Below are 26502 nucleotides of genomic sequence, written 5' to 3'. Positions count from 1 at the left end.
TCCTACAAAAGATGGGAAGAGCTGCTTAGAATTGGCAGATCCTGCATCTCTTATGTACTTTGATGAGGGTTGTTACAAAGCACCACAAATGCATGAGGGACCCTACACAGTGGGGGCAGAAATCCCATCAGCATTGATCTCTGCCTCATTCAGACAGACAGAACTCCCAGCACTTTCGTGTCACTGTGGATAGGGGCGTCAGTTTGAGTGACTCAGTATTTACAAACTGAGAAGGGATTCTGAGTTACAGATGAAAAATCGTGCCATTCTTTGGTGAAGTGGGAAATCTGCATAGAATCAATAGATTCTGTCCAAGAGTCAAGTTTGACCCTGACAGGAGCTGGGCGACTGAACAAATTAGCTACCTTCAATTTCCCAATCCGTGCAACAGGAATTCCAATTCCTGCTTCCCAGGACAGTGTCAGGTTATCAAAAAGTCACCAACATATTGTCTGTCACCTAATAAACAGTAGTGCTATTTTCACTGTAGTTGAAGATATTTGTCATTGTTGTCATAATTATCACCACCATCTTCATAACCATGGCCCTGAAACCTATTAACTATAAATTTTAAATAATTTACTCTGTCAGTCAGGAAAATAGAAGACACTCCAGGTATCCCCAGGCTGAATTTTTTTAATGTAACATTTTAATTAAAGTATAAAATTTATTTAAAAGTGCACAAATATTAACAGTGAATTTCAATGAAATTTTACAAACTGAACATGCCATGTAACAAGAATCCAGACTAAGGAGTTCGACATTAACAAGAAGTCCCCCTCCTTCTAATCATTACCTCCCAAAAAGTAACCACTATTTTGAGTTCTAAAGCCATGGATTTTTTTTTTTTCTGATTTTTAAAACTTTATGTAAATGGGATTATCCAGCATGTATTCTTTTGTATCCAGGCTATTTTGATTGTGAGTCATCAAAATTATGATTTGTTGGGAAAATGTATAGTTATTTCATTTTCGTTGCTTTATAGTGGCACATGTATGAATACATCACAGCCTATCTATTCTATGGATTGATCGATGGGTTGTGATATGAACTACTCAAATATTGCTGCTATAAATAGTCGTATGTCTTTTGTAAACATGTGTGTACATTTCTATTAATATACATGTAGAGGTAGAATTGCTAGGATGTAGGAGGGATGGATGTTCAGTTTGAGTAGATAATTTCAGTTTTCCAGTGTTTTCCAATGACATACAAGCATAGTTGTACCAACTTACTCTTAAAAGTAGGTGAGTTCCAGTTGCTCCAAACACAATACTTTGTCTGTCTGTCATTTAAATTATAGACTTTCTCTTGTGTATATCGTGGTTTTAATTTGCATTTATCTAATAGTTACTTAATTTGAGAAGTTTTTAACATGCTTTCATCCACTTAGATATTCTTTTTGAGGTACCTACTTCGAGACGTCTGTCTTTTTTATTGATTTGTGTAAATTTTTATATATTCTGGGTAGTCTTCTCAGATATGTGTTGTGCAAATATCCTTTCTTATTCTGTGGCTTGACTTTTCCTAATGGTGTCTTTTGATATGCAGAGAATACTAAATTTCTAAATTTATTGGAGTTCTATTTATCATTTTGTGTGTTATGACTAGCAATTTTTTGTGTCTTGTATAAGGTCTGCCTACCCCAAGGTTATGAAGATGCTTTTGTATGTTTTCTTTAAAACATTATTGTTTTACTTTTCACATGTAGATCTGAACTGTCCGGATTTTGTTTTTATGAGGGAGGGGTCAGGATTTATCCTCCACCTCAACTCTGTGTATCTAACTGACCCAGCACCATGCATTAAAAAGATGACTCTTTCGTCATGGGAAGATTTTAATGCAAGGAAATAAAACCTAGCAAAATTTTGGAAAAGCCAGGGAACAAAGGACAGTGAAGTTATTGCTAAAGTTTTCAGCTTGCAACACTACAGCAGGAGCTGTGGAGGAGCTTGCCTGGGAGCTGCTGAGACCATCCCATCTGCTTCCTCCCCACACTGGTCTATGAGTCACCTGTGCTTCTTCCCGCCACAGCTGCTGGAGAACGTGGCCTCCTAACATGGCCTCCTTCCTTTTCATGGAAGCCTATGGGGAAGGGATTCTAAGAAATGCCGTCCTAGGCTTTGTCTCTGAGACAAAGTGGTAGAGAAGACTCCAGGAGGTGGAATTGATGCCAAAGTGCAAACATAGTTCGCAGAGTCACTGAACATTCTTGCACCTGTGATGCAGAAATTAATTTTGAAGTTGGGTTAGATGGTCTCTAAGAACTTTGTATCTCCAACATTCATTCAAACATTAGATATTATAAATGCTCTCTTAATGAATTTTATTCATTCACCGAGGTATTGAACTAGGCCAAAAATATAAAAAGAAAAAGAAGGAAAAGCACTTTTATCAGAGGCACTTCGAATACCACTGAAATAGGAGCAGGCAAACAGATGACACAGTGCAGGAAAATAGTGGCTATGGCTGTAAGAATATACAGTGCAGCAGGTTATAGGCAAAGGTGTACCCAGACCACCTGAGGGACACTCCTGCAGTGTTACTGGAAAGCTGTGTAGAATCCTGCCTGGAGGAGCAGAGCAGGAATTGGGAGCCCCAGAGAAAGAACAGCAGGTGTACCCAGGGATGCCATTGTAGTACCTGGGAAAATGTAAACTCAAGCTTTGTTTTCTTTTATCTTGAATTTCTTGAGGAAAACCACAGGTGCCTTCAAGGAAACAGATGGAAGTTGTAATCTGTTTTGTGTAACCAAAGCGTTAGGCAGTGTTTGTATGGCATTGGGCAAGTTACTTCCTCTCTGTGCTATGATCTCTTCTCTCAGTTAATCTCCAGGAAGAATCTCCAGGATTCTTCCTGCATCTTGCAGTTTGGGCCCTGGAGGTTTCTTGAGTTTGTTCTTCCTCTGCACTTTATTTGCAATTGCAAAAATTCAGGCATGCCGGGCTTACAAGTTAGAGACAAATGGCATCTAAACTGGCTTTCTCTTCTCTACAGGTTTCTTTCCAGAATCTTTGGACAATAGGTGGAGTGATGGCAGAAAGGGGAAGAATGGACGTGGTGGGTATCAGCCAATCACAGCATATTCAATGATTCCACATGGATTGGAGAGTGTTGAATCATGAGGAGGCTGGCAAAAGGGCCCTCTCCTCATGAGGTCTGGTTAATATCAGGAATTATTGCCTCAAACGCTGCAGGTGTGGATCGATCTCTTTCAGTCCCAGTAAATGGGGCTGCAACTGCCTTTGACAACCTCAAAGCTGCACAGTGCTCATGCCCTGGGGCAGACAATGATGTGGGGGAGTTGCTGATTTTAGGATAGAAAATTACAATGCTTATATAGTAAACAGCACCTGGAAGTTTACTAATGATTTTTACAATTAACAGCAGCAGTGCGGTCTGATTATTCATGCGTGCTTTCTGTGAAAGAAAAGAAAGGAAGCAGATGTTGAAAAAAGTCACATGGCTTAGATTTTATTGGGAGGGGAGATGCGGTGGTGAAAGAAGGGTGTATGAGTAGGAGCAGGAGGAAGGAAAGAGTGTGAGGTAGAGAATTCTGTTATTTTCTTCGGGCTATAATATGCAAATTATGCTCTTTCAAATTTCAAAATTAACCTCAAGGCATGTTCTATATCATAAGAACTCTTTTCTACAGCAGGTATGTTTAAAAGCTTATGTATTTTGCAGTAGCTAGGCAATTTCATAAGTGCATTAGGTATCAATAAAACATATATGATTGGGCATTTTAAAAGTCTTTCTTTTTCTTTTTCTTTTTTTTTTTGAAGCAGAGTCTTGCTCTGTTGCCCACGCTGGAGTGCAGTGATGCAGTCTCGGCTCACTGTAACCTACACCTGCCGGGTTCAAGAGATTTTTGTGCCTCAGCCTCCTGAGTAGCTGGGACTACAGGCGCCAGCCACCACATGCGGTTTTGTTTGTTTGTTTGTTTGTTGTTTGTATTTTTAATAGAGATGGGGTTTTGCCATGATGGCCAGGCTGGTCTTGAACTCCTGGCCTCAAGTGATCCACCTGCCCCAGCCTCCCAAAGGACTGGAATTACAGGCATGAGCCACTATGCCCAGCAGTTCCATGTAGTCTTTAAATGTACCAACATTTTCTTGGTTGTTGAAAAATCTAGCATTTTTTACATACAGTAATTAACCAATTATTGATGGGGAATTTGTATTATTTTAGATACAAGAAATGTGCTTGAATAGACTTTTGCTTCTGTTAAATTTCTCGTTAGGTAAAATTCCAAATGATGGGATCACCTGGTCACAGGAAAAGAGCAACAACAATCAAAGAAGGCTCTGGTTTCTTGTTATGCTATTGGACTGGAAAGTGCTCTCAGGAGCTGGTGCATGCTAAATTCAGCCCAGTCTCACCAATATCAGAGTGGGGGGGTCTCTGTGTGTTCACGTGCACATACACGTGTGCATGCAAATTTTTCTATCTATGCCTAGTATCACAAGATGGTTTTAAATCTATTATTTATTAGATTATTGGCCAAGAAAATTTTTTGTTTTTAAATTTATTGAATTTTCTCCCGTGTATAAAGGGACCTTTCATATTTGCCTCATTTATCTACCATTTGAATCTTAACATTTTATTGAAAATTTCCTGAGGCAGTAAATTCTACGAGGGCAAAGATGTATCTATATACACACAGAGATGAAGAGTGACTTGCCCCTCTTTTCGTCTCTCTCTCTTTCCCTCCCTTTATTCATTCTTTCTCTCTCTTTTTCTTCCTCCCTCCCTCCCTTCCTTCTCTCCTTTCTCTTTCTTCTTTCTTTTCTTTCTCCTTCCTTTCTTCCTTCCTTCCTCGCTTCCTCTTTTCTTCTTTGCTTCCTTCCTTTCCTTTTCTCTCTGCCTCTTTCTCCTTCTCCTCCTTTCTCTCTTTCTCTTCACTCTCCGCCTCTTTCTTCAATGTTTTCTGTTGCTGAGGACCTCAGTGGACAACAATGGCTGTATCTGAGATTCCTAATTAACAAACCAATATGGTTAAATTTTTCTTTAAATCTAGGTTCAACCTGGATCAGAAGCCAAGACCAATGCCGCACTTGGAAGGGACGACCAATAGTTCTGTGTTCCTGACCTGTCTTACAGTCTTTCGCTTCTATCCGCAGTGGACCATTTGGCTGATCACGTCACTCTACAGCTGTTCTGCCACATTTGAGCACCCACATTAAAGACAAAAGTATGTATGAGAAATAGAGCCACTCAGAGCCTGTCTGCTACACACAATTTCAGCACGAGGGCAAACAGCATGGTGACAATGGCTAATCACTGCCATTTACCTTTATGTCTTCCTTAACAGTTGAGACACATTAAGTCAGTGTTTACCTACGTGCTGTACCTCAGACTTGTCACCAAGAAAGCTCAGTGGAGATTTTGTAGGTAAAGAGAGAAAATAATGTCTTGTATGTCTTTAGCAACATGCACACAATGCTTCTTAGTACTGTGGGCAGTCAAATGCATCTGGGAGTCTCAGTTCTTCATCTACAGGTTATGGAAGGTATAAAACACCTCACAAAATTCTTAGGTAGTTAGTTGTGAAAATGTGTGCAAAGCACTCACCACAGTGCTGATCACACGTGCATGTCTCGGTGACCATTAGTTCTCTGTCCCTTTCTTCATGGACAGAAGGCAAGTGCAGATCTTGCACATTATGAAGTAGTAGAGTACTTCCCTTTTTTTTTTTTTTTTTGAGATAGAGTCTTGCCCTGTCACCCAGGCTGGAGTGCAGTGGCACGATCTCAGCTCACTGCAACCTCCACCTCCCGGGTTCAAGGGATTCTCCTGTCTCAGCCTCCTGAGTAGATGGATTCTCCTGCCTCAGCCTCCTGAGTAGCTGGGATTACAGGCACACGCCACCAGGCCCGGCTAATTTTTGTACTTTTAGTAGTGATGGGGTTTCACCATGTTGGTCAGGCTGGTCTCGAACTCCTGACATCAAGATCTGCCAGCCTCGGCCTCCCAAAGTGCTGGGATTACAGGCATGAGCCACCGCACCCAGCCAGTAGTAGAGTTCTTAAACATCCCCTAAGGCTCTAAACACAGGCTCTACTAAGTTCTACTTCACCTACTGAATTTCCCAGCTGATGGGAGAAGCCCTGTCTTTGTTCATTCAGAGGAGTTAACATCTGGATATTCATAGGCACATACATACTTTTATCCTCCCCAAAATGTCAAAGCTTATACAAATACAAAGATGATAATTAGAAATTGGTCTCCAGCCTTTTTGGACTTGGCTTCTCACTTGAGATAGAATCAGAAGATTCTGGAGATATTTTCTAATTTACATGAAATGCCTTTCTTATTTTCACTGTCCTCAATCCTGTAGGTTATAAATCTAGGCACTTCCTGTAGAGAAATGCATTGACCTCTTCTAGCAGGCTTCCAAAGTGAGCATTCATTTCTGACTAATCCATATATACTAAGTTTCCCTGGGTTTTACCAGATTATCAAGAACACAGGGACAGTATGCGCAAACAAAGAGACCAGCTGATAGCATGATAGGACATTTTCTATTTGGTTCAAATTGGCTTGTTAAACCCTGCTTCAGTCTTATCAGGTAATGGACAGTGCTTACTTCTGAGCTGACAAACAAAATGCTTCTCTTTAATCTCTCAGGTTGGGGAGATAATGAAGAGGCAAGACAGCAATATGGGATTGGCTGGAAAGATGACAGACTGCATATGCACATCAAATAAATTCCAAACGCAGCCATCTATTCCCAAGGTATCTTAACTCCACCAGATATCTCACTGCTGTCTGTCAATGATTACGCTGTCTAGTTTTAATATTGAAAGCAAGTTTTCACCTTCAGCAAAGCCATGCAATGTGACCAGCATGTGATCTAAGAATTCAAGCCTGTACCAGCTGTTCTCTAAACACTGAGTCCCACCAACCATGGCAGGAAGAGTGGGCCTTGGGTTGATATGGCTGCCAGCTCACCAATCCCTCCAAATGTTCCTCATGTGACCTCTTTTTAGGAATCTCTATTCCAGGCCCTTCATTCTGACCATCACCACCTGCATCTTGTATCCTGGATTCTTTTAAGAATTTTAAATAGTGCACTAGAGGTTGTAGAAGAGATACTTAAGATATGGGTGTCTTTACTCTATTCTTAAGAGGCCGTTCATGATACATGGAGGTCAATGACATCAGAATCTTATAAACCTGACATAAAGATTGTAGGGAGCCCTTAGCAGGAGAGAAGATCATTGAGTGCCCATGGCTGCAGCAGAAGGTAGAAGAGGAACTGGATAGCAGCCTGGAGCCAGAGAGAATCATCACCCACAGCCAGGGAGGCGTGGACTTGTTTTGCATTGGTTGTTTAGTTTTGCTTTTATTCTCCTGCTTCCCTGAATGGATCTCTGTCAGTGCTTTAACATCAACAGAGTAAGAATAAAACATGGGTCAGCCCTGTCTCGCCCAAGGTGGGTGGGTGATGTTAATTTGGAACTAGACCACAGCATGGGTGGAGTCCTCAGCAAATGGTACAGCAGACTTGGCCAGCCTGACAGAGCCCCTGAGCCCCACCTCCACCAAGTGGGACATGTAATGACAGAGAGGTTGATAACCATGGGGACAGAGCAGCGCCTGGAAAGGAAATCCTAGAAAGTTCTATGGTGGGGAGAAGGCAGTAAGGAGAGTCCAGACCCTAGAATGTAACACAGGGAACTCTGTTCCCTGGAACAGCCCCAAATTTTCCTGAAGGAAAATAAACTAAAGGCATGCTTTTACTCCATCATCCAGCACACATTGTAAACAAAGCAGCTAGTAGTCCCATGAGAATAAAAGATGATCTCACAAGAAATCCCTCTGGCCAAAGCATTATGAGAACCATCGAATAAACAGAAATATCAATACTTGAGGAATCAAAACTAACAGAATGATATAGAATAAGAATATAAAATATGTATATTGTCTTCTGAAGGTTCACTGAAAAATCATCTTGCAAAATGCAGGTTAATTGGAGATAAGACATACAAATTTACTTAATGTATATACACAGTAGCCTTCAGAATGAAGATGCAAAGATATAGAGGAAATTTGTTTTTATGCTTAGGTTCAACAAAGTATGAACAGCTGTATAGAAATATGATTGGACCAAAAGTATATGATCTAATGCTAATAGGCAGAGTGGGGACACCCAGCAAGCCCTATCTGGACTCTTCTTAGCCTCTCTGAGCCTGCATTCTTTCCTTCTGAGTATTGGGCAGGACCCTCTCTGGAATGGGGTGGTATTAGCCCATTCTCACACGGCTATGAAGAAATAGCTGAGACTGGGTAACTTATAAAGAGGTTTAATTGACTCAGAGTTCCACATGGCTGGGGAGGCCTCAGGAAACTTACAATCATGGCAGAAGGCACCTCTTCACAGGGTGGCAGGAGAGAGAATGAGTCCTGAGAGAAAGGGGAAGCCCCTTATAAAACCATCATATCTCGTGGGAAATCACTCACTATCATGAGAATAGCATGGAGGAAACTGACCCCATGATTCAATTATCTCCATCTGGTCCTGCCCTTGACATGAGGGGATTATTACAATGCAAGGAGAGATTTGGGTGGGGACACAGAGTCAAACCATATTAGGGGTCTTATGATCTACAGTCAAACAAGGTAGGTCAGATAATTTCTCTATGGCCAGTTTTTACACAAAAAAGCAGAGACAACACTTATGTAATATTTCCAGGTTTTATGATTGGCTTAGGGACAGTGGGACTTTGGTTTCTATGACCCACCTTGGGAAAGAGAGATTTTCATTTCTATGGCTGGCTAAAGACTGAGAGACAGAAGGTCAGGAGAAAGAGAAAAACTTTCACTGCTCAGCGGCCTTCTTTTTGGAGTGTCGTTTTTCTGAGCTCTAAATGTGTGTGTGTGTGTGTATATATATATACACATATACACATATTCTCAGAATAAAAAAGATATTGAAAGCAAGAACAAGCATACATGAAGTCTTTGGGCATGACAAATGAAACTGATGAAATAAAGAGCTTAATGAATGGATTTTTACAGATGAATAGATAATAGATATAGCTGAAGAATCAATTTGTAAGTTGAATTTAAATAATGTCTTCCAGCATACATTCAAAAGCAATAAAGTAATATGATGATTGAGAAAAAAGTTAAAAGATATGGAAGATAGAAGTACTAACATTAATTTAATAAAGTTCCAAAGGGGTCAGGCATGGGGGCTCATGCTTATAATCCCAGCACCTTGGGAGGCCAAGGCGGGAAGATCACCTGAGGCCCAGAATTTGAGACCAGCCTGGCCAACATGGCGATATCCCATCTCTACTAAAAATTAAAAAATTAGCCAGGTGTGGTGGCACATGCCTGTATTACAAGCTACTTGGGAGGCTGAGGCAAAATAATCACTTGAACCTGGTAAGCGGAGGTTTCAGTGAGCCAATATCGGGCCATTGCACTCCAGCCTGGGTGACAGAGCGAGACTCCGTCTAAAAAAAAAAATAAAAATTTAAAAAAGTTCCAAAGGCAAGAAATGAAAGGAAGGAAATATTGTCATTATATATTAGAATGTTTCCTATTATTTTTCACTTTTCATAGTGAGTATTTATTTGCATATTTTCTTTTAGCATCTAGTTTGTCTATATCTTACTTTCGTACAAGTCAAAAAATCTTTGCTTTAAAAAAAAAGCACACAAAAACACACACCAGATAATTAACAAATCCTTCAGCCCATGAAATGGAAATACTGAAATGTCAGCTAGATTTCTGATAAAAATGATCCCAAAGTTAGAGAGAAGATGGTAATAAATAAAATGGACTATGAAAATTGGAAAATGATAGTAAATTAAGCAAATTACTAAACTTAACGTATAGTAACACTGTAAAAACTGTCTGCCAATAAAATGGAAATCTCATTGATAATAGATGGATTTCTGAGAAGCCAAATTCGGTATATATGTGTGTATATATATATGTATGCTCAATACAAATTTATTTGTATATATGTATATATACACATATAAATATGTGTATATATGTACAGACTAGTAACCATGAAAGAAAATGAAATATTAACGATATAATTTTCTATAGGTAGCTATGTAATTTTAAACTTCCAGGAAACAGGTAATCCGTATCTGATGGAACTTGTCCCATATAATATAAAAAGTGAAGTCATCTCAAAACACTTCGTGAGGCTTCACACTTTATAAGATTGATTCTAAAATTAGACAAAGATATTATAAGAACAAAAAAATCAGTTTTACTTACATATGTAGATTTAAGATCCTAAATAAAAATTAATTTACTAATTTAACGACAGCATGAAAAATAGTATCTCATGACAAGCAGCATTTGTAACAGAGATTCAAGGAGAGTTCAGCCTCAGAAAATATAATTATTCAATATATCATATAATGAAAAGTAGAAAAAATCCAAATAATTATCTTAATGGAAATGGATACAGAAAAAAGCATAAGACAACTTCAATACCAATTTATTATTTTTAAAAAACCAGTGCCATTAGAATACTAGAAAGGGAAGATGACTCTTGCAGTTTGTTGAAAGTTATTTATTAAAACCCTACATCCAATATTATATTGAACTGGCAAATTTTAATCACATTCTTTTTAGGCACATGATAACGAAAACAACCGTTCCACATCTGTTCTGTGAATGGCAGTCAACTGAATGAGTCAAAGCAGTAAGACAAGAAAAAGAAATGCACATAGAGACTATAAGAGCAGTGACATTGTCATTAGTTGCACATAATGTGATTATTTCAACAGAGATTATCAAGAGGGGATGGGTAATCCAGAGGATTACTACTATCATATCATATCAACCTTTTCTACTATCATAAGGTTTATTACTTATCATAAGGTTTAGTGAGATTGCCAGAGAGAAAATCAATAAGTAAAAACCATCAGTGTTCTTCCACACTAGCTAGAAATTTGACCACCAGAAAATGTTAGACAAAACGGCAATAGAAGTACCATTTATAATAGCAACTAAAATATGGTATTTAAGAATAATACAACAACAATATAAAACACCTTTATTAGAATAAAACAAACTCCAAGAACAAAAAAAAAGGAGGTCTGTACAAGAGTTGACTGATTGGATGAGTTAACTTTCAGCACTTTGAATTTGGCTTTGGGTCTCCATGGTTTCTGAGGCGGAATCAGCTTTGAGTCTTATTGAGGATCTGCATAGGTGATGAGTTCTCTGGACCTAAGGCTTTGAAGCAGCTCCAATCCTGTTCTGCCTCCTGCCAGGTTTTCATTATGAGTGTGGGATGTTGGTTTTAAGTCCCCTGCAGAGATGGAGAAAGAAGGAAGGCAACTGGGCAAGTTCAAATCCTTCAAAGCTTGCTGTTCTTACTGAGATTCTGTCACTTTTCTTATACAAATGCAACCTGAATTGCTTCAAGTCTCGGGCTAATTTCCAGAGTTCTGAAAAGGTTGATTCAGACCATTTTCCCCCAGGGTTTTGTTTCCATAGAGAAAGGAATTCTCAAAAGTCCTCATTTTGCCATTTTTGCTGCTGCTACCTGTTGGATGAGTTAATTTTATGAATAATCAGTTTTGCTAAAATCCATTCATCAATTCAATACAATTCTAAGCAATTTCTTCAGTAGCAGGTTTTGGCAAATTGGAAAATCAATTCAAAATACATTCAATAGTTAAGAAACTTTGGAAATGAAGAAAAGAGATGGGGGAATAGCCCTACCAGATAAGACGACATGCTTCCAAACATTTGTCGAACAAATAGTATTTTAGAACAGAAATTGACATACAAGCCAGGAACAGATGGAGAAACCTGCAAACTTGATGTGTAGTGAAGTAGTGAAAGCACAGAGGTTTAGCAAATGTATTGGGAAACCTGGGTCTAAAGTTTTACAATTAAAGGTAGATTCCCAACTCACAACACCTCAAAAATCAACTCCAAATGGAAAAAAAAGCCTAAATGTAAAATGTAAAGATTTAAAGCTTATGAAAATGAGGAAGTACATCATTGAGATGAGGGAAGACATTCAGTAGGATTTCAAAAGCACAAACCAAAAAGGAAAACTTAAATGTAAATAAGGGATAGCTGTAAATATAATTACCTCTAAATTAAAAATATATATTTAACCAAGAATGTCAGAGACAAACATGGAAGAAGGGATACTAATGAAAAACAGTTATAAAATCTTAAATTTTCAAAAAAATTCACATCTAGAATTCATAGGAGCTCACGTAAATCAGGAAGGAAAGGGAAACACAACAGAAAAATGGGCAATGATTATGAATAGTCAATTTATAGGCCTTGAAACATTAGTGATTAATAAATATGTAAAAGAAACTCAAGTTCACAAGCAATGAGAAGGATACTAGTTTTGAAAAGCACATGAGGTCATTTATTATAGCTTCGTATAAGGTAGACATCATGACATATATGTAATATGAGATGCTATTCAATGACCTGAATATGTAAAAATTGAAAAAATGTAACATTGTATCAAAATTTTTTAAAAGACTTTTATTTTATGTTTAGGGTGAACACAAGTCTTAGTTTGGCAAGGATAGTCCCAGTTTTTGACTGTTATCGCAGAGTGAATATTACTAGGTGCCCATTTCACTCTCAACATTCCCCGGAAAATCAGTTATATGCCCACTGTACTTGCTGCACAAGACCATTAATTTAAATTTAAAAACACAAAGTCTTCGCACTCATTTTCCAAAGAATACATTGGTTTTATGTACATAAGGCTCAAAGACAAACAAATGGACAAAAAGCATGTGTCGGGGTGGAGGGGAGGTTGCAAGGGATATTTAAGAATAACGTAAGGAATCTGGGACTTGGCGCTCAGGTTAGAATTTAGGAATTTCCTACGACCCCTTCTTTCCACAGTCAACAATTAATTTCCAGATTATGTAAGGGCCACCCATGCTTTCCTGGATAAACCTGAGAAAAGCAATGCTTTTGGAGGACAAAATGGAGTCCTTCTCAGAGGAGTCAAATAAATCCCTCTGTAATGGTATGCAGCCTGTGTCCAGGACGCAAACCAATCTCAGACGTTAATAAGAAGTCTCAGCTGTATAAACCAAAGTTACAGGATGTTAAATTCAGGAAATCTCATTTTACACCAAACAAGGAAAGGGGTTCTAACTGGGCTCCTCTGCAATCAGATCCTATTGCCTTCTTGGGCTCACCAAGCTGTGCTGAGGGATGGTCTTGGGGAGCTCATGCAGCCTCGGGCCGTATGTCTCTTCCTTTACAGGTTTGGACAAAACAAAGGAACGAATGTGGAACAGAAGTTTCAAAGACCTCTACGGAAAGATAAAGTTCTCGGAGGTATCAACCTCATATGAAAGGGTCTTTTAAAAGGTCATTTTATTAAAGCTATGGAGAAGAAATAACCTTCGGAAACGGTAGTTTTTCATTAGATGGAATATTTATTTTCTTTTGATTTTGTACAGTCTACAGTGTACTTTTATTCCTTATTTGTCAGAACAGCCCTATGAGATAAGTAGGATTAACATTTCCACCCTTGTAGGAGAGCTGCTATGTCAACTCTTGTCTCTTGGACATGAAAATCCATGTTCCTAATTATTATATCAGGATTTGGTCAGGAATACAGGAGCAACTCCACGTATTTTAAGTAAGGGAAGGTGAGGCTCAAATCTTTTATCAAAAAATAGAACAGAAAATAAAGAAGCACGAGTTACAAGCAAATACCTTGTTAAATGGGATCTTTGTAAGCATTGCATCACCTCCTCTATCTTTGCAGGTGTCTGGTCTTTTGCAATAGACTGCAGGAGGGGCAACCTTGTGTTCTCTATATTGTGACTTTTCCTGGGGTCTCAGAAAAAGTACGTTTCCTAGTCTTCCTTGCAGTTAGGTTGGGGCCGTATAACTCTGTTCTGTTCAGTGGAATGAGAGGGGAAATGATGTATATCACTTTCAGGCCTGTACTTCCTCTACCATCTTTTTGTTCTACCACTGAACCCTTGGATTCCAGATTTTCCAGATGCTGTGGCTACACAATGGAGGAGAGCCACTTGACCTGTAGGGACTTTGAGTGAAAATAAATAAACCTTTACTGTGTTAAGCCATGCAGATATGGTAGTTGTTACAGCAGCTAGCTGGTATTAATTACCCTCTTAAAGGGATGCCAAGACATTGGTATATTTTATCTTGCTTAAGAACAATAGACAGCTGTCAGTCTATTTCCTCTGCTTCCCACAAATAGGAAGCAATCAACACCTGGTAAAATTATTGGGTTCCTGACTAGCTTATGGAGTCCTTGTGGGCAGGGATGTTGTAAAACTATATTTTGTAGCCTTCTTTTCTTCTATTAGGTTGGTGCAAAAGTGATTGCAGTTTTACCTTTGGCAAAAACCGCAATTATTTTGCACCAACCTAATAGGCTAGTACCTGACACATTGAGGGTAGGCAGTAAATCAATCTACAAGGACTAATGAATGATTTGATGAGCCATAATTTTGAAGTATTCTCATTCAATGCAGACTGAAATTTTTTTAATTATTTGAAAGGTAAATAAGACAACTTGTTGTTTTGCTAAAAAATGATAAGCAACTAAAAGGAGGACTATAATCTCATTTGTACTAAAAATGTAAGATTATTTGAGTTTTATTATGTTTAACATTTTTCTTATTGACTACCACAATAATGAGGAATCATTTGTGCCAATCAAAATCAGTATGGCCTCCACACACAGGGAGCTCTGATCACTGGCTGTACTTCTGATAAATCTGAGATGCTCTGTGCTCAGCAATGCTCAAGGTTCTGTCAACACGAATATCTCCTTACCCCTTGGAACAAAGGAAACCAGTGATGTTCCTGACATCTACAAGAGTGCCTTTGAAATGGGTTAACTTTAAAAAATTTTAAATACGTGTCTTGTCTTTTCTAATTCAACTGGTGTTAGGATTTAAAGTTAATTATCTGATTTCCTAAACTAGCTTCTCTGTGCATTTTTCTCCCTCTGATTTTGAACCTTCCTGAAGATTGGTTGGCCTACAGTATCTAAGCGGTCTGTAACGTAAGTCGGAAAGATGTGGTGCGAAATGGAACTGGAGTGGCCTAATCCCTCCTCTTAGTGACCTAAGCTATTTAGAGGAGATGAAGAAATGCCTGAAACGCTTTTAATTAACCAAATAGCTATTGGAAAGCCATGTAGCCTACTGCCTGCCAGAAGCTGTCACAGCTCAACTATTTCAGGGTTTCTTTCACACAAACAAGACTGATTAAAAGCGACCAACGTTATGTAATTGCCATTGTCTTGTTCATAACTATAAAGGTTTTCTCAGAGAAGCCACTGAGTCTGCTCATTTCCACAGTAATTGGTTGCTCCTCCCTGGCAGTGGAGATTCAGCCCCTAACTGGTGTCTGGAAGGAACAGTCAGGGAAGCTTCTGCTGAATAGTGTGTGCTGTGTGCTGTGTTCTATGTGCCACGTGCTGTGTTCTGTGTGCTCGTGCTACACTGGCCTGCAGGGAGGTGATGGTAGGGAGGAGATGGGCCTGGGATAAGGAGGAGGCTGAAGGAGAAATGGCCAAGTGGGTACATTAATTATCTTAGAGCCTTCTGGAGCAATCGTGGGCTCTAAGAAGAAATTATTAAGTAGCAGGCATTTGACTGTCATTTGAGTCTCATTTGTACTTTTAAAAATGGTTACGAATAGTAATAATGAAAAATAGAAATTTTAGGAATATAATAGTGCTAAAGACTGTCCATTCAATCTTGTCCTTTTAGATATTTGTAACCCTAATGACCTGCTGCTGAAGGATAATCAAACCACAGTGACTAGGAAATCATTTCATCATTCCATAAAGATCTGCTGAGCCCCTCTAAGTGCTGAGGACTATGGAAAGAGGCCACAGTCAGGGCAGATAGTCTTTGCCCTTAATTGCTCAAGAATGAAGTGGATGCAATCCTGGAACTCACAGTTGGGCAGGGGCAGTTTTCAGATATGACAGGCCTGCTTTCCTGAGATATGACTCAGCCCAGAATAAATATTTGTGCTTCATCGAAGGGTTTTACCATTAGAAGTTCTATTCATTGTTTTCACTGATGCGCAAATGACCAAAAGTGAATATAAGGGTTTGACTTGTCTTTTACTAAATCCAGATTTGCCTTTCCAACCAAATAATAGAGGCTTGAAGCTAGTATAATGTTTAGGTGAATATAAAACATGGAACTACCACAGGCAATGATGTCTAGTCCTGAGTGTTTGTATTTATCAAAGCTTTGAGCCCCAAAGGGAAAAGGAATCAAAAGTCTCTCACCAGCAAAAATCTGGTGCTGTCTCCTGAGCACTGCTGGCTACACTATACCTTCCTAGGTGTGAATCGCTCTTTCTCTCCATGGGGCCAGGTCTCTCCGTGTCTTGAAGGCTTCTCTCCCTAAAGTTAGACAATGTAGAAAGGCACAGCCTCTTGTTGCTCCAAACATTGGTCCACATGTATTTTGGGTTTTAAAGATTGAAGCACAGTATTTAGGGCCGCTGAGTCTGGATTTGAATCATATCATATTTCCATCACCCTGGCTGTGTGGCTTTAGGACCTGTATACTCTTTTAGACATTCCATTTTAGCTTTCTCATCTTTAAAAGTAAAAATAAAGCCATGCAAAGATGGCACTCGGCATGCCATCTCATGCGGATCACACACTCCGTAAAGAACCTCTCCCTTCTTCCTGCCACCCTATGCCCAAACTGCCTCTTTTAGAAGAGGGATGAGGATTTACACTCTGCTACATGCTTTATGTGGATATTTCCTTTACTACAAAGTTATAAAATAGGTGCTTTTAATATTCAGAATATGGATGAGAAATCTGAAGGCAAGGAGAGAATGAGAAATATACTCAATTTTACCCAGAAGCAAGCACTAATGCCAAGATTTGAACTGAGGCATTTACAACCTAGAACCCTTACTCTGTTATTTTTTGAGAGTCTGACATTTGTACTTCTCTATTTTCCCTGGACACAATTATTGGACATTGAAGAACAGGACACACACACACACACACACACACACACACACACACACACACACACAGAGAGAGAGAGGATAAATTCTCTATTCTCAGTGGGAGAACTGTAATTTATATCTTAGGAGTCCAACATACAAATTGCAAGGGTTGAGAGGAGCTTAGTTCAACCCACACACACAATCATCTCCACTATAAAAAGTCATATTTCTGAACATGACTTTTCCTGTCTAGTCTTCTGTTTTGCTTAGCCCCATCACCAACATGGTAGCGATGATAAGAACTGGCAGAACATGATCGTCTCTCTGTGTAATGCACAAGCCACTTTTCTAATTCAAACTTCCCACCCTCTCTGCAAGGTAGCAAGGTGTGTCCAGATCACACACCTGGAGGATGACCTTGTAGGGCCTTAACCCCAGGCCTTCTCTGAATATTGTGTTCTTTTCATAACATCCTGCTATTCTGCTGTTAGATATAACCAAGTGTACTGCTGGAAAACTAGTGACGTGGTTGGGGGCAGTCTGAATGCACTGTGATTTCATGGTAGCATCCCTTTCTCATGGCACCAAAACATGATTCACAACAAAAGGAGAAAAGATACTGGATGAGGACTTGTTTAGAGCAAGAGTGGTGAACCATGCCAAGGGCCAAGGCTCTTCTGGTGAATAAAGTTTTATAATAACACAGCCACGGCCATTCAGCTAGACTTTTCCTATGTCTTCTTCCGTGCTGCAATGCAGGCCTGAGTAATTGTGCTGAAGACTGTGTGTTCCTCAAAGCCAGAAAGCAAGGGGGCTCTCAGAGCACTCAGTGTCTAAGGGGATGATGTCAAAGGACATTGAAACTGGAGGGAAGGGCTCTGGATGTCCTAACTTGGGACACTGGAGCTTGAAAAAGGAAGACGATGGTAATTGACATATTGAATGCATAAAAATGCATGAGCCCATAGCAATATTCAAAATATTAATAAGACAGACAGGGCAGAAAAATAAAAAGTGTGGAGGGGAAGAAGTTCTTTAGCAAAGAAAGCCAGCTAATAGGTGAATAATAGAATTAGAAAACAACAATTCTTATTGGTATTGTTGCTATGAAAAATATAAAATAAAGGTAACTTAAAGACTCTAATTACCGTATTAATCTGTAATTATTATAGATAAAAGTATTATAAAGCACAGAATAAGAAACCAAGATTAGGAATCAAGGAAAAAACAACAAAATCAAGCCCTTAGGCTTCCTGGATGGTATTCACTGGCCTGCGACAGAGTCGAGCCTCTTCCTGTAAGTATGTGGCAAGGCCCCAGGCTGGGTAATGGAGGAGATTCCCCCCCGAGTTCCCTCCCCACCCCCAGGCTCCTGGCTTCCAGATGTCACTTCCCAGGCCCCCTTGCTCTTTGCTAGGCCAGGACAAGCCAGAGCTGAATGGCCCCTAGAGGAGACCATCCTATTCATCCCCCTCTCTTTCTGCAAGATGTGACAGTGTTTCATTTGTTTATCTCATTTTGTAACTTTTATTTGAAAGGGTGCGAATTTTGCAACTTCCCTAGTGCTGATGTTTGACAATCCATATGCATGGAGTTTCTCCTCCCTCATAGTTCACCTCCATCTAAGGGTGTTCACTGGTCTCCTCGTTAAGACTTCATGCAGATTCACCTAGGTTTTTGTATTAGTCCATTTTCACTCTGCTGATAAAGGCATACCCAAGACTGGGCAATTGGAAAAAAAAAAAAAAAAAAGGTTTATTGGACTTACTGCGCCATGTGGCTGGGGAGGCCTCACAATAATGGCGGAAGGTGAAAGGTACATCTCAGATGGTGGCAGACAAGAGAAGAGAGCTTGCGCAGGGAAACTCCCCTTTTTAAAACTGTCAGATCTCATGAGATTTATTCACTCTCATGAGAGCAGCACAGGAAAGACCTGCCCCCTGATTCGATTACCGCCCACTGGGTCCCTCCCACAACACATGGGAATTCAAGATGAGATTTGGGTGGGGACATGGCCAAAACATATCAGTTGTCATTATCTACTTCTCAAGTCTCCATAACAACCAAGGGGCTGCAATGTGTGATGGACTGTACAGTCAGTTGACTTAAGTTTGAATCCAGATTCTGCCATTGATTTGCTGTGATGGAGGATGAGTTACTTAGCCTTTTGAGCCTCAGCTTACTCATCTGTAAAATAAGACTATTCAACACTGTATTTATTTGCTAGAGTTGTTATTACAAAGTACCCCAGACCATGTGGCTTAAATAACAGAAATTATTGTCTCACCATTCTGGAGGCCAGAAGTCTGAGATCAAGGTGTGACCAGGACTGATTCCTTCTGAGGCTGCAAGGGAGAATCTGCTCTAAGCCCCTCTCCCTGGCTTGTCTTCTCCTGTGTCTTCGACATCTTCTCCCTGTATTTTTCACATAATTTTCCTTGTGTATGTCTGTCTCCAAATTTCCCCTTTTCAAAGAAACATCAGTCACAGTATATTAGGGCCCATCCTGATGCCCTCCTTTGAATTTGGCCATCCCTGTAGAGACCCTATCTCCAAATATGGTCACACTCTGACGTATTGGAGGTTAGGACTCCAACATACAAATTGCAAGAGTCAAGGGGAGCTTAGTTCAACCCACAACACACAATCATCTCCACTTTAAAATCCATTGGAGATGAAATGATGTGTAGAATTTAGATGACAGCCTGCTTCATGGTAAGGCCTGAGTAAGTGTTATTTATTATTAATACATTGACTCTCTCCTTAGTGCTCCTTGAGGAGAGATTTTACTGCCCCCAATCTTTTCTGCAGGTCATATCTGAGCCTCTAATTATCTTTAAAACTGTCCGGTGAACTCTCTCCTAAAATCCCTTGACTTTTTATTTGCAAAGTCTAGAAATGGGAGATGGAAGACAAGAGATTATTTGAGAAGGGAACATCTACAAGGAGGGTCTGGTGGCCACTGGACCCCGGGGGTCCTGGTGGCAGCCTTTGGACTTTCTCCTGAGTGGTCACTCCATACACTCAAGTCCTCCCTGCTCCTTGCAGTAGGGGTCTCCTCCCTTCTCCCTGGGCCTCCATCCCACATCTTTCTTGGAGCAGACCGTGACCTCTTCAGCTTCCACTAAGCAGGTGTAACTTCTCTGCCTGTGAACCAAGTTCCCAGTTTTTCCAGAAGGAGTTTAGATCTGACTCTGGTGAAAGTGGACCTTGCCTGTCTATCTTGGCTTAAGCAGTGCAATTAGGTGAACCCTTCAGGCTAGGGATGTCCTAGCAATTTCCTCCAGCCTCTTTCTATTTCTCATTTATTCCTGCAGCAGACACTTTCTGGACCCCTACTGGCCAGTCCCTCCTAGCACTGGTTGTGGGATATCCCAGGTGGGCCAGGCATGGCCCCTGACCTCAGGAAGCTGACAGGCTAGTGTTGAAGACACACAAATGTCTGAGGCTGCCCCCCTTACTTCTGGATACCCCTCCTGTCCTATGGGTTCAAGATTTAGCCTTCTTCTCTGGGAAGCCTTTCCTGACCATGGGAGTCTGAAGGGTTCATGCCCTCTCTTGATTTCCTCTTGCACTTGTCTGTCCTGCTCAGCTATCAGCCCTCACCTGCCTTCCCATCTCCAACACAATGGAACTCCCTGCAATCCTGCCCCACCAGACTCAGCCTCGTTTCTGACTGCACATATATAAAGAACTGCAGCTCTGTTCTTGAAGTCACAGAAACCAGCAAGGCTCCTATCACTGCCTCCGTTTGGGCTGGGCTTCATACCCTGATGCAGCCCTGCTTACCTGTGACCACTGCTGGTGGTGGTGTCAGAGTCCCTGCACAGACCCGTACCAAATGTCCCTGATCTGCTCTTTTACAGAGCTTTTGTACCAAGGCACAAGCCATGGAAAGAAAGAGCTTCAAGAATAAATGTGAGCATCCTCGGTGCCTTGTACTTGAGAACTGCCTCTCTGTCTCAGCCCAGGAAGTAGCCTGGTGTCCCATTGCCCTAAGAGCACTAGGAACCTGCATTGGTCTTGCAATCTGGTAGGACTACCACAGCGAAAGTCAAGTGGGTGGCCTCACAATTTTAGGAAGTCTTTTAGACCTCATCTCTGTGCACCTGCCTTGCCTCTGCCCTGCCACTCAGCGAGCAGATAGAAACCCCCTTTGTTCCTCTCTGGATTGTGACATCCACCCACTAAAGTAACCGGGTCCTTTGGGCTGGATGTAGTGGTGATATTTTACTCATGCAAACAATACTGACAAGAAATGAACCTGTGGGAGACCGCAGTTACTGGAGCTCTGTGATTTCAGAAGAAAATTAGAACTCACCAGGAAGTCAGAAATGCTGTCCCAGCCTCCCACTTGTGCCTGCAATAATTCAGGCCCTTCTGCTTTCCGAGATGCTGATGAGTCTCAGTACAAAGAGACCCCCACGTAGATCTCCCTACTTCACAGCTTCCTGAGAGTATGGCTAACAGAACCTTGGAAAAAGACTGCGTTCAAGGAAGTGATTTGTTTAATCATTAAGTTTCTGGCTTGACTCTAGGATATGAATTCCCAGTCACATTCTTTCCATGCAACCAGCCTAACCTAAGCTGGCCTATGGACACTATTTTATCGAGTTGATTGTTGTTGTTTAGTCTTTGCATGAGACTAGAAGGAAAACCAGAGAAAGGTGAGGCGCCTGTTAAGACTTTCAGAGGAAAAGGAATCCTTTAGAGCCTGCATTCCATATTTAACCACAGTGCCACACACATACTTCTTTCTCTGCTATTCAAAAGAGGAAATATCAGAGAATAATACACCAAAAAATGCATTTATATTCTGCTTGGGAATGGTGTTTTCAAGTTCTGCACTTGAGAAGGAGTGTATTGTTATGCCATTTACCCTCTCATAGAAATTTTATTGTTTTATTGAAATAATTAATCTACTATATTAGGAAGACCAAACATTAAACTCAAACAAAAGCCTAAAGCTGTTTTGTTGATATTTAATACAATAGTACTTGAAATCAATTATATGCTGTTCTAATGGCTTTCTTCCAACCTCTTCAACGCCCCCATTACTGTTCTTAAATACACACACATGAACACACACACTCAGGAATGCGCACACACCAGGAAGAGAAAGAAGCTGTTCCTGCTTTCCAATTCACCAAGTCCCCACACCAAAAATTCTTAATTCTTAAACTCAGTATGGATAAAATAACCAGGAACTTGTTAAAATGTAGATTTAGTGCTCAAACCTCCTAGAGATTTTGATTTAACAATACAGTTGACATGGTCCATGAGCTGTCCTTGAGAAACAGCTCTATACCTACAAATTCAATCTAAGCTCACCCTGGCCAAAGCAAAGCATTCTGCAGGAGCTTCCATTGCACCAGTGGCTAGCACCTTTCATTAGCTGAGCTTTCAGTGTCTTGATCAATGCCTGTTAGCTCTTCAGGCACTACCTGAGATGAATTACTGTGCTGATCCGACAACCTCTAATGCAAGACATAGCACAGTACTTACCAATCAGAGACTCTCAGTCTGAATCCTGCACTGCAAGGGAGGGCTGGCCTGGTTCCTATTTTAAGCCTTGGATAGGATTGTCACTTGCCTGATGAGATCTCTCAGTTTGTAAACTTTCACATGTTCTTCTCCTGTGGTACTTATCACTCAACCTTGTATTGCAGTTTATTCAGTTCATGCTCGCAGGGCCTTAATTAGGTTTAGTTTTCACCTTATGTAAAACTTAGCACAATGACTGGCATCACCATTAAAATCAATAATGGAATCAATAAATTCATTCAAATAAAAATCAACCATACTTTCAACCTGTCTGGCTACTAAAAAGATGGACCACTAATTCATGCTCCCACTCAACCAAAGCTAAATCTCCATTTACATTACTTCCTCATTATTGAGGTATTTACGAATCCTTCAAGTCCAATTGATTAGTCAATGAATTTATTTGCCTAAACAGACAGCAGATTTCTGCTCTGTCCTCCTAAGCTGCATGGCTTTTATCTCCCAAGGCTTGAACTCTTTCAGCTGGAGGCTCATTCATTCATTTAATTAGGTGGCAAATATTTATTGAAAAATTATTCTGTGATAGGCATTAGTCTTAGCACAAGGGATACAGAGAAGAAACTAAGTAGTTTCTGTCCTAAAGAAATGTAATCTAGGAAAGGCAGAAAAGCAGGCAATCAGATGATTACCTGCGGCATGTACAGAGTGCAGCTGTGCACAAGGAGCATTGCTCAACTCTTTCTAGAGGGAACAGGAAAGAATTGAGAAGATCCTTAAAGAAAACAGGCAGAGTGGGAGAAGAGCAGCCCAGATAAAGGCCATCTAGAAACCTAGTAGTGAAAAGGTGCACTATATAATAATATAGAAATCCTAAGTGACTTCAGCTGGGTTTCCCAGGGCACAGATCTTTGAAATGGAGATTTGCATGCAAATACATTTCTTGAGGAATTTCCCCCGGGATCACCGAGTAAGGTTGCACAGAGGGAGCATGTGAACCATGATTAGTCGCAATGCAAGCCAATCTCAACAGGAAGCTCTGGGGGTGGGGCAGCCTGCAACACTGTCCTGCTTAGAGCAAGGACCAGGCTTTGACACACGGAGCCTTCATAAGTTTCAATTCCTATCTTTCCCCGCCTCCTGCCCCAAAAGGTATTGCTTTAAGCTAGGCAGGTTTCTTCCTTTGGCTGGGGACAATTCTTGGGGAAGGATTTCCCTGTACGCTGTCCGCCACCAACAATCCCAGCAGCCGGGGAATGAATGTGTCGGTCCTAAAAGTGCATCTGGGCCATAGGACAGCATCCACTCCAGTAAGCCCAGGAAGTATGAAGTGTGAGAGTGAAGATACCTTGTAGAGGGGAGGGGAAATAAAGCTGGGAAAGTGGTCAGGAGACAGATTGTAAAGGACACTTGTATATCAGAGGCTTGGATTTATCCCAAAAACAATGGAAGCTGTCAGGCTTCTGAGCCCAAGCCAAGCCATCGCATCCTCTGTGACTTGCACGTATATACGCCCAGATGGCTTGAAGTAACTGAAGAATCACAAAAGAAGTGAATATGCCCTGCCCCACCTTAACTGATGACATTCCACCACAAAAGAAGTGTAAATGGCCGGTCCTTGCCTTAACTGATGACATTACCTTGTGAAAGTCCTTTTCCTGGCTCATCCTGGCTCAAAAAGCTCCCCCACTGAGCACCTTGCAACCCCCACTCCTGCCCGCCAGAGAACAAACCCCCTTTGACTGTAATTTTCCTTTACCTACCCAAATCCTATAAAATGGCCCCACCCTTGTCTCCCTTCACTGACTCTTTTCGGACTCAGCCCGCCTGCACCCAGGTGAAATAAACAGCCATGTTACTCACACAAAGCCTGTTTGGTGGTCTCTTCATACGGACGCGCATGAGATTTGGTGCCGTGACTCGGATCGGGGGACCTCCCTTGGGAGATCAATCCCCTGTCCTCCTGTTCTTTGCTCCATGAGAAAGATCCACCTACGACCTCAGGTCCTCAGAGTGACCAGCCCAAGAAACATCTCACCAATTTCAAATCCGGCAAGCGGCCTCTTTTTACTCTCTTCTCCAACCTCCCTCACTATCCCTCAACCTCTTTCTCCTTTCAATCTTGGTGCCACACTTCAATTTCTCCCTTCTCTTAATTTCAATTCCTTTCATTTTCTGGTAGAGACAAAGGAGACACGTTTTATCCGTGGACCCAAAACTCCGGCGCCGGTCATGGACTGGGAAGGCAGCCTTCCCTTGGTGTTTAATCATTGCAGGGACGCCTCTGATTATACACTCATGTTTCAAGGGTGTCAGACCACGCAGGGACGCCTGCCTTGGTCCTTCACCCTTAGCGGCAAGTCCTGCTTTTCTGGGGAAGGGCAAGTACCCCAACCCCTTCTCTCCTTGTCTCTACCCCTTCTCTGCTTTTCTGGGAGAGGGGCAAGTACCCCTCAACCCCTTCTCCTTCACCCTTAGTGGCAAGTCCTGCTTTTCTGGGGCAGGGGCAAGTACCCCTCAACCGCTTCTCCTTCACCCTTAGTGGCAAGTCCTGCTTTTCTGGGGGAGGGGCAAGTACCCCTCAACCCCTTCTCCTTCACCCTTAGTGGCAAGTCCTGCTTTTCTGGGGGAGGGGCAAGTACCCCTCAACCCCTTCTCCTTCACCCTTAGTGGCAAGTCCTGCTTTTCTGGGGCAGGGGCAAGTACCCCTCAACCCCTTCTCCTTCACCCTTAGTGGCAAGTCCTGCTTTTCTGGGGGAGGGGCAAGTACCCCTCAACCCCTTCTCCTTCACCCTTAGTGGCAAGTCCTGCTTTTCTGGGGCAGGGGCAAGTACCCCTCAACCCCTTCTCCTTCACCCTTAGTGGCAAGTCCTGCTTTTCTGGGGCAGGGGCAAGTACCCCTCAGCCCCTTCTCCTTCACCCTTAGTAGCAAGTCCCGCTTTCCTAGGGGGCAAGAACCCCCTAATCGCTTATTACCACATCCCAACCTCTTATCTCTGTGCCCCAATCCCTTATTTCCACACCCCAACCTCTTATCTCTGTGCCCCAATCCCTTATTTCTGCACCCTGACCTCTTATGTCTGTGCCCCAATCCCTTATTTCCATGCCCCAACCCCTTCTCTGCTTTTCTGGAGGGCAAGAACCGCACCCCCCCACAACCCCTTCTCTGTGTCTCTACTCTTTTCTCTGGGCTTGCCTCCTTCACTATGGGTAAGTTTCCACCTTCCATTCCTCCTTCTTCTCCCTTAGCCTGTGTTCTCAAAAATTAAAAACCTCTTCAACTCACACCTGACCTAAAACCTAAATGCCTTATTTTCTTCTGCAATGCCGCTTGACCCCAATACAAACTCGACAGTAGTTCCAAATAGCCAGAAAATGGCACTTTGAATTTTTCCAACCTGCAAAATCTAAATAATTCTTGTCATAAAATAGGCAAATGGTCTGAGGTGCCTGACTCCAGGCATTCTTTTACACACTCAGTCCCTTCCTAGTCCCTGTGCCCAGTGCAACTTGTCCCAAATCTTCCTTCTTTCCCTCCCGCCTGTCCCCTCAGTACCAACCCCAAGCGTCGCTGAGTCTTTCTAATCTTCCTTTTCTACAGACCCATCTGACCTCTCCCTTCCTCCCCAGGCTGCTCCTCGCCAGGCCGAGCTAGGTCCCAATTCTTTCTCAGCCTCCGTTCCTCCACCTTGTAATCCTTTTATCACCTCCCCCCTCACACCTGGTCTGGCTTACAGTTTCGTTCTGTGACTAGCCCTCCCCCACCTGCCCAGCAGTTTACTCTTAAAAAGGTGGCTGGAGCCAAAGGCATAGTCAAGGTGAATGCTCCTTTTTCTTTATCCCAAATCAGATAGCGTTTAGGCTCTTTTTCATCAAATATAAAAATCCAGCCCAGTTCATGACCTGTTTGGCAGCAACCCTGAGACGCTTTACAGCCCTAGACCCTAAAAGGTGAAAAGGCCGTCTTATTCTCAAAATACATTTTATTACCCGATCTGCTCCCGACATTAAATAAAACTCCAAAAATTAAATTCCAGCCCTCAA

At 41.5% G+C, this 26502-nt stretch overlaps 2 long non-coding RNA genes across 2 annotated transcripts, besides 3 other annotated features; one reads left to right on the top strand and one right to left on the bottom strand.

Annotated features, from left to right (window-relative positions):
- The first annotated feature begins 3147 nt into the window (after positions 1 to 3147).
- LOC101929551 (uncharacterized) lies at positions 3148 to 16036 on the top strand. Its single transcript, NR_110256.1, has 6 exons — positions 3148 to 3197; positions 5021 to 5194; positions 6631 to 6738; positions 13244 to 13317; positions 14994 to 15028; positions 15741 to 16036. It is a non-coding gene; the product is annotated as an uncharacterized LOC101929551 (long non-coding RNA).
- On the bottom strand, positions 10535 to 23341 carry LOC105373409 (uncharacterized). Its single transcript, XR_922752.2, has 3 exons — positions 21278 to 23341; positions 19244 to 19371; positions 10535 to 11530 (listed from the first exon to the last, which is right to left on the bottom strand). It is a non-coding gene; the product is annotated as an uncharacterized LOC105373409 (long non-coding RNA).
- Positions 23218 to 23732: an enhancer, noted in NCBI's record as "OCT4-NANOG-H3K27ac hESC enhancer chr2:8019202-8019716 (GRCh37/hg19 assembly coordinates)". NCBI's record gives its function as "activates a minimal SCP1, AML or CMV promoter by ChIP-STARR-seq in naive H9 embryonic stem cells {active_cell/tissue: H9 hESC(naive)}" and the evidence as "EXISTENCE:reporter gene assay evidence [ECO:0000049][PMID:30033119]".
- Positions 23733 to 24246: an enhancer, noted in NCBI's record as "OCT4-NANOG-H3K27ac-H3K4me1 hESC enhancer chr2:8018688-8019201 (GRCh37/hg19 assembly coordinates)". NCBI's record gives its function as "activates a minimal SCP1, AML or CMV promoter by ChIP-STARR-seq in primed H9 embryonic stem cells {active_cell/tissue: H9 hESC(primed)}" and the evidence as "EXISTENCE:reporter gene assay evidence [ECO:0000049][PMID:30033119]".
- Positions 24247 to 24761: an enhancer, noted in NCBI's record as "OCT4-NANOG-H3K27ac-H3K4me1 hESC enhancer chr2:8018173-8018687 (GRCh37/hg19 assembly coordinates)". NCBI's record gives its function as "activates a minimal SCP1, AML or CMV promoter by ChIP-STARR-seq in primed H9 embryonic stem cells {active_cell/tissue: H9 hESC(primed)}" and the evidence as "EXISTENCE:reporter gene assay evidence [ECO:0000049][PMID:30033119]".

The sequence above is a fragment of the Homo sapiens genome, chromosome 2, assembly GCF_000001405.40.
Source record: "Homo sapiens chromosome 2, GRCh38.p14 Primary Assembly".
Classification (NCBI taxonomy): domain Eukaryota; kingdom Metazoa; phylum Chordata; class Mammalia; order Primates; family Hominidae; genus Homo; species Homo sapiens.
Note: the sequence above shows the minus strand (reverse complement) of the source record. Positions and strands in the feature narration are given on the sequence as shown.